Source organism: Homo sapiens, chromosome 11 (assembly GCF_000001405.40).
Source record: "Homo sapiens chromosome 11, GRCh38.p14 Primary Assembly".
In the NCBI taxonomy this organism is placed as follows: domain Eukaryota; kingdom Metazoa; phylum Chordata; class Mammalia; order Primates; family Hominidae; genus Homo; species Homo sapiens.
Genome location: NC_000011.10, coordinates 56,327,877 through 56,336,497, shown reverse-complemented (window position 1 = coordinate 56,336,497; position 8,621 = coordinate 56,327,877). Strand labels below are relative to the sequence as shown.

The following is an 8,621-nucleotide window of genomic DNA, read 5'->3' as shown; positions in this document are numbered from 1 at the left end:
CACCCAAATATATGCTTCCTGCAGATTATTCTCATAATTTAAATTGTTGCTTTAGTTTTTGAAAATAATATTGAGAAGATACCTTTTCTAAAAAAAATTAAAGAAATGAACACATATTTTATTGATGTAGAGTTTAATAAGTGTTTATATGGCAAGGAATATGAGCTTCTATACAATAACTAAAGAAAACATTGAATCAGAAGCAAGAGACGTTGATAAGAACTTCACATTTAATTGAGATATAAAACTTGAAGATTGGTTTGCCTAAAGAAAAGGAAAAACCTATTTGTGTGTGTTATACCCAGTTTTTGCTGTGGAGCCCAAAATAATGTATTTATATGTACTAGAAATATTCATTAGTGACATTTGCCTCTATCATAGCTTCCTAGAACAATATTCCATATTGACCATTAAATTACAAAGTTTTCACTGCTTCATAAAAAAACTATAGAAGGCATTTTTTTTACTCCCTTTGTTCTTTACACTACAGACCAAATGGTAAAGCATGGTAATCACTAAAGAGGAAAACATGGAGGTCATTTTATTATTATCAAAAAAAAAGGAACTGAATTTGAGCTGCAAGTACATAAAGTATAGAAACCCACAGAACACAACCACCACTATCAGACAAGAAACATACGTGAAGAAAGTTTTTTACTGCTCTCTGCAGAATGCATTCAACAAACAGTTAATAGAATCAGCATGGAGGACATTAGGACTACCAGAAGAAAGAATATCAAATTAAGTACTGAAAATAGTGTGATCAACATTTCTATTCCTCATGCATTTGAGTCCACCATGGCTAACAAAGAAACATCTTAACAGTAGAAATAACTTATGACATTGGAGCCATAGAAGGCCAATATAAAAATCTTTATAGTGACCATCAGAGCTTGAAAGGTACTATAAAGGTATGGAATACCACCAGCACATGACAAAGTTCCTGAGACATAACATTTTATGGCAGAAGGCTATGGATGTCCACATAGTGGTCATAGGCCATGGCTGATGAGACGAAAAGTTCACAGATAATGAACATAATGAAGAAAGCCATCTGCATGGTACATGCATAACAGGGAATGGCATTTTGAGCCACAACAAAGTTTACCAGTATCTTGGGATAAATGACCATAGAATTACCAAGATTAATAAAATTCAGGTACCTGATTTAAAAAATACACAAATGTTGTGTAGACCCAAGTCCACATTGTTCAAAATGATTATGCACTCTTTGCTCACCACTGTGAATGTGCAGATGATGAGGAAGACCCAAAAAAGGGAGAGCTGCAGCTCAAGCCGCCTTGTGATTTCCATCAGAATTAATTCAGTAAGCACTGTTAGATTCTTTTGGCCCATTTAGTCCAGTTATCTCTTCCAGGAAGAAACAGAACAGTTGTTAAAAGATTTTATGTAATGTCATCTAAACAAATTATAACATTTGTAGACAAAAGGTGTTATTCACGATAGGTAATAAACATTATTTCTACATCTGATCCTAAAACTAAAAAAAAAAAAAACAAGAAAACTTCTATCAAAAGAAGGGACCCATATTAAATACACATATAATTATGAGGTAAGTTAAACTGTAAATATCAATAATGTTTGGAACACATCAATTGATAACAAAATTATATAGTTATTAATATGGAAATGTTAGACTTTATTTCACCCACACAGTGGCGTCACAGTTTTTTTTTTCTAGTATACTTCCATATTTTCCAAAGAATTCTTGTGGAATTGTGCTATTATTAAAAAGTGAGATAGAGATAGCATGAAGCTACTGTTGTTTAAATTTTAGTTTCCCTCACTTGCACTTTCTGGGTAGGGATTTAACAATAAACTCACAAGTAATATGTCTTTGTGAAAATTCTGTAAGCAAAGATATTTTAACCATGACCAACTAAGGCCACTTTCCATTAATATTCTGACTTCCACTTCATCACACTTTATCTGACAAAACAGTGCATTAGCATATCTGCAGGCATTTTTAGGACCCAGCTAACAAAGGATTGAGTTAATGATACTTTGATGTTTAATGGGTATATTTATATGGCTCAAAATCAATGACATTATTAAATAATGCTATCTCTTTTGGTGTAGGAATGATCACTAAGAACACCCTTACCACCAAATGTGCAGAGATTTGTCTGGAATTTCATTAATAAAATAATATTTATAGATTTTATGATTTTTTGACCTTTGGTTTATGACAAAATTTGTATTATTTTTTCTTTTAAATATTTACATATATTTCAACTTAAATGTGTAATTTTATTTTTTAAGAAAAAAGAAAAACTCCCAAACTAATATAAGCTTAATGATTACCAACATGTGCATCTATTCCTACTAAAATATTTGTTTTATGTCAATACAGAGGGATTATGAATATTTAATTTTATAAGTTTTATTTCCTTTAAGATATCACTGTGAAAATAACAGAGTTTAGAGGGCATTTAAAAGCATTGAGCATTTATTACATCACATATAAATTACCGTTTATTTCTAATATTGCCCCATAGAATACAGATCATTACACTGTGATTTTCAAACATTTCAGTGATAAGTACTGGTCCTCTATTTAATCTAATTAATGTGGGACATGAGCAAAAAAAAGTGGAACAGGTCTGATTAAAGTTAGTAAAATCTGCTTTAGCCTAATCTCTTTGTCTCTCCTCTTCTACCATTCAGTTTCTCTTCAGTGAAAACATGGAACTCTGCAAGCATGAATTTCAATTCGAGCAGTAGTTGCATTTTAAAATATTCAGTCAAATAAAATACAGAATTTAGTTATAACTTCATGGAATGTCAGGTTTAACCCACACAACTATCAAGTAGAACCTTCTGGGAGCCCACCTTAAGGTCCAAACCTATAGGTTAGAGGAGTTAGAGCACTCTCACCTTGTGGAAGTTAGCAGCAACTGATTAGTTTTATGTGTAGATCTTGCTGTTCTGACTCAGGAAGTAAGGACAGGGGAGGAGAGCAAGACTGGAGATTGGTAAGCTGTCTGAAACCATTCTTCCCAGATGAAACTGTTTGTTCTTTCTTCACTGAATTCCATTCTGTCTTTCTGGCTCTTTCCTCCCTTACAAGTAAGAACCGTAAGTCCAGCATTTTTGAAAACATTCTTTTGAACTTACCAGATGTCAGGGTATGCCTTCAAAGGGTTTTATTGTAGAATAGGAGATGCAGTGGACTGAACAAAGGAATTCAGTATTGCAGCCACAGTGTCACTGCTTTGAAATGTTTAAATTTTACCAATAGTCCTTTGTTCGGAGAAAAGCTGAGTGTTGAGAGAGAAGCTGAGGCAGGGCTTGCGTGTCTGCTAGACTTGCTGGCTCCTTGCTTCTAGAACTCTTGTTATCTCAAGCAGCCAAATGTTTCTCATTCACTTCATACACTGTTTCCTTTCAATCCCCACATCCCCATCAACTGTTTGTTTGAGCACCAATAAGTAGCATGGCCTCCCAGAGCTTGGGGACTTTGCAGCCTCCACACTTGTGATGGCCCCCTGGTCCCAATTTCTCTCTCAAACTGTCTTTTTCTCATTCCTTTGACTCCGCCGGACTTCATTGCCCCCAAGACCTGATGTTGGGTCTGAGCACCCCAACATTCCTGGTGCCCAATGTGGGGCAACCCTGGTGAAGGAACGCTAGAGCGTGTGAAAGCAGAGGACGCCTCATCAAAGGACACCCGAGGTCGTCTAAAAGAAGTTCGGCGGGAAAGCTGAGCGCTGGGAAGAACCAGGGTAACAATGGGACAAAGTGAATGCAGACATTCTGCTTATTTAAATTTTTTAAAGCATTTATTATGAAGTGGGGGAGTAAAAGTTGGTACTCAGTTTGTTATCACTTTTTAGTACAGTAAAGCTGTTTTGCCCATGGTTCCCGGAACAGGGGACTATGGAGTTGGATGAATGGGAGAGAATTGGAAGAGATTTTTTCAAAAAGGTGTATAAAGACGGAGCAGTGACAGGTACGGCGGGGGGTGCTGGGTCCTGCTGAGGCGACAATGGCAGAGGGGCCCGAGGAAGCCCAAGGCCGCCCTCCTGGGCACGACGAGGGTGGAGGGGGCCACGAGTCCCTCCCTACCCTGAGAGGCCCTCCTGCCGCCACCGTCCCATGCCCCCATGACGACCCCCAGGCCAAACCCCATGCCCCTGGCCAGCCCACAGCCCGGGCCTCATGGCTGTGCCTGACAAATCAGAGCCGCCCCGGTGAGCTCAGGAAGCGCGGGGAGGCTGCTTCCGGCTCCGTGCTGGGCTGCCGAAGTGCCCAAGGCACAGCCCCGCGGGAGAGACCGAGTGCTCCCGGCAAGTGCGCGAGTGGCTGTATCAGTCCTGCTGTGGCTACCTCACCTGGCACCGCTGGCCAGGCCGCCTTCCCGGCTTGCTGCAGTCCCCAGCAGTCCCCGCAGAGCTTCCCTTCGGACAGCGCTGCTGTCCCAGTGGCTGGGCTATTACAACCCCTTCTACTTCCTGAGTCCTGGGCCGCCGGCCCTGACCCGGGTACAGCTGCTGGCATCAGCACCCAGGCTCCAGTAACTGGCCTGGGACCCCGGGCTTCTCATGTGCAGGCATCAGTCTGGGCCACTCCAGTGACGAAGGTAGGATCAGCAGCCCCTTCGTGAAGCCTGAGTGAGACCGGGCAACAGGCAGGCGGAGAATATGTTATTCCATCCTTGGCCCAGGATGGTGAGTTTCTTTATTCTTTTCTTTGTAAAAGCAACCATTGTCTTAAGCATTATGCACCTCAGTGGGATAAAGGATATCTCTAAGTTTGCTATGCATTATGTAATGGAAAAAATAGATAAAGACACATCAGTGGAAGACTTGCAGAAAATGATGCAGACTATTAGTTTGTTTCTATGAGATAATTTGCATCTGGGGAGCAGGTGGAGCTACCCCAGGGAAGTTCCTGGTGGGGCTTCGAGTTGTGACATGTGATACATTAGTGCTTATTGCACTAAGTCGGGTTTTAGTGATTCTTTCCTCAAACGTTAGCATTACAATGTCCACTACATGAGCTTTGATCAAGAATTTTTCAATTGCTTCTTTTTTCCCTGCTTGCATCACACTGCTGTTTTTTCAGCATAATCGATCAGCCTATGATATTGTGGCAGGAACCACTGTGGTAAAAAGAAATGGGGTCAGATGATGCCCCCAAAGCCCTGATTTCCACACGCTATAATGACAAGACTAAATTATGTATCAAGGCCATCAGTATCCCTGGGCTACACTAATTGATGATTTAGAAATTAAAGCAGTCACTCCAGTGTGATGCAGATGATTACTCTGAAAGTATTGATTTTACTTAAATGTCAAAGAACTTGTCCAGAAGAAAAACCTGTTAAATTCAGGTATTAAAATTTTTAGATAAAAAAGGCAAATGATTTTATAAACAATGAACAATATATTCTTAAGATCTAAGGCATTTTCTTAAGATCTAAGAATTTGCTGAAAGCATCTTCAGCTTTGAAATCTCCAAATGAAACTTTAAAATTTATTTTAGTTTATCCCAAAATAATGGAAAATGTCCAGTTGTGTATTGTAAATATCTATGTAACTCATCTTTTAGTTCACACTTCCTGGGGAGCCACCAAAGAAGGTACCCACAGGAGTTAGGGGACCCTCACCCTGAGGAACAGTTGGCCTATTACTTGGAAGGTCTAGTCTGAATTTAAAAGGTGCTACTGTACATATGGGAATAATTGACTCTGATTATACTGGAGAGATTCAATTAGTTATTAGTTCCTCTCCGTGTTCTGCCTCCCCAAGAGAAAGAATTGCTCAGTTGTTGCTGTTACCTTATATAAAACTAGGAAGCAGCACAGTGAAAAGAACAGGAGGCTTTGGTAATAATAATCCAGCAGGAAAGGCTGTGTATTGGGTTAATCAAGTGTCTGACAAAAGACCTATTTGCACAGTAACTGTTCAGGGAAAAGATTTTGAAGGACTAGTAGATACTGGAGCTGATGTCTCTATTATTGCTATAAATCAATGGCCCCAGCACTGGCCTAAGCAAAAGGCATCCACTGGTATTGTTGGAGTAGGAGCTGCCTCAGAAGTTTTTCAGAGTTCCTTGATTTTACCATGTCAAAGGACGAATGGTCAGGAAGGGACAATCCAACCTATCATTACACCTATTCCTATCAATTTATGGGGTAGAGACTTATTGCAACAATGGGATGCTGAAATACCTATTCCTATGGATCAGTATAGTAATCATAGCAGACAAATGATGAAAAACATGGGATATCACCTGGGAAAAGGACTAGGACAATATAAAAATGGCCAATCAGAACCTTTAGAATTAAAAGGGCAAACAGATCAGACCGAATTGGGGTGTCATTTTTAGGAGCGACCATTGTTGAGCCTCCAGCTCCCAATCCTCTTGTTTGGCTATCAAACCGGTTTGGGTGGAGCAATGGCCACTGAAACAGGAAAAACTGGAGGCTTTAAAAGAACTGGTGCAGGAACAATTGCAAAAGGGATATATACAGCCTACTTTCTCCCCTTGGAATTCTATTGTATTTTTCATTAAGAAAAAATCAGGGAAATGGAGAATGTTAACAGATTTAAGGGCTGCTAATGCTGTGATTCAACCCATGGGTGTTCTACAACCAGGGCTGCCCTCCCCAGCAATGATACCAAAATAGTGACCTCTCATAGTGATAGATCTAAAGGATTGCTTTTTTTTACCATTCCTTTAGCTGCCCAAAATTATGAAAAATTTGCTTTTATTGTTCCCACCATAAATAATGAAGAACCAGTGGACAGCTACCATTGGAAAGTATTACCACAAGGCACGCTAAATAGCCCGACTATTTGTCAAACTTATGTGGGAAAGCTATTAAGCCAGTTAGAAGACAGTTTAAAAAATGTTATATCATCCATTACATGGATGATATTCTGTGTACAGCTGAGACTAGGGAAGAATTGATGTTGTGCTACAAACAGTTATAAAAGACTGTAAATGCGGCAGGGTTAATTATAGCCCCCAATAAAATCAAAACTTCTACTCCCTTTCATTATCTTGGAATGAAGGTAAAGCAAAGTGCTATTAAGCTTCAAAAGGTTCAAATTCAAAAAGATAATTTAGAAACCTTAAATGATTTCCAAAAGTTATTAGGAGACATTAATTGGATTTGTCCAACTTTAGACATTCCTGCCTATGCTATGTCTCACCTCTTTTTTTACTTTACAAGGTGATTCTAACCTTAACAGTAAACGCTTCATGTCCAAAAAAGCATGGGAGGAACATCAATTAATTGAGGAAAAAATTCAGCAAGATCAACCCATGTCTGCAGCTGAACAACACTTGACAGGACAAAAGGAAAATAAAAAGGCTGGACAAGATGTATGGTAGAGGGATGCACATACAAAGAGCTGGGAAAAAGGAAAGATAATTTTATGGTAAGAGGATTTGCTTGTGTCTCTCCACGTGACAATCAGGTGCCTGTGTGGGTGCCCACCAAACATCTGAAGATCTATCATGAACCACAGCATCTAGTGGACCCACCTGTACAGTGCAAATTGAAGGCTTAAGGATTACTTTTTTGCTATACTGTTGCACAAGAAGGATAAGCCTCGATTTGCTTTTTCTATGCTTTCTGTTAATCAGAAAAAGCCTGCTTCTCATTATCAATGGCAAGTTTTACCCCCATGATAATTAACCAAAGGGCAGAAGCTGAGTTACAAATGCTTCAGCAATGGCATGCCTCCCAGCTACAGCCACAAATGCTTTTGCTTGTGTTTCAGTGCATTTACTAACGTGGGGGTGAGGATATGCTTGTGTTTTTGCAGGAGATGAACAAACCATGTAGATGCCCTCAAGATGTGTTTGACCATGGAACAGGAGAATGGAAGGACCCATGGATCCCAACCATGGCCTGGGTTCCCCCAGTACGAGCCATGCTGAGAAACTGCTGGAGCACCAGGGTTTTACCTATAGATGCTTAATGGACCAGTGCTTTCTGACTGAACTCCTCTCTACCCTGAATACAAGAGACCCTAATAGGTAGGCAGGAGTATGATCACCCCTATTCAACATGAAGAAGTTACAGAAGACAGACCTTCATCCTTCTGCAACCCCTAGGATTAAGGGTCCTCTTGTAAAAGGGAAAGGGGAGATATGTAGGAAGCATTCAAATCAGAGCAACTCCATTTTGAATAAGGGCTAAGAAAAATGAAGCTGGATCACCAAGTGGCAATTAAGGGCTGCACAGCCTGCAATTGCCTTGCTCAATTTAAAGAGGCCACCTTATGCTAATAATGATAGCTGGGGCAGTTTTTACAAAAAAGAAGTGGGGCATGTTGGGAGAAAAGCTGAGTATTGGGAGAGAAGCTGAGGCAGGGCTTGCACGTCTGCTAGACTTGCTGGCTCCTTGCTTCTAGCACTCCCATTATCTCAAGCAGCCATGTGTTTCTCATTCACTTGATCCACTGTTTCCTTTCAACCCCCACATCCTCACTACGTGTTTGTTTGAGCACCAATATATAGCATGGGCTCCCAGAGCTTGGGGCTTTCGCAGCCTCCACACTCAACAATGGGCCCCTGGTCCCACTTTCTCTCTCAAACTGTCTTTTTCTCATTCCTTTGACTCCACTGGACTTTGTCCCTCC

General features: G+C 40.2%; 2 pseudogenes, besides 1 other annotated feature; one reads left to right on the top strand and one right to left on the bottom strand.

Annotated features, from left to right (window-relative positions):
* OR8K2P (olfactory receptor family 8 subfamily K member 2 pseudogene) lies at window positions 429–1,355 on the bottom strand (annotated as a pseudogene).
* Window positions 3,887–4,387: an enhancer, noted in NCBI's record as "H3K4me1 hESC enhancer chr11:56099587-56100087 (GRCh37/hg19 assembly coordinates)". NCBI's record gives its function as "activates a minimal SCP1, AML or CMV promoter by ChIP-STARR-seq in naive H9 embryonic stem cells {active_cell/tissue: H9 hESC(naive)}" and the evidence as "EXISTENCE:reporter gene assay evidence [ECO:0000049][PMID:30033119]".
* FAM8A2P (family with sequence similarity 8 member A2, pseudogene) lies at window positions 3,959–5,591 on the top strand (annotated as a pseudogene).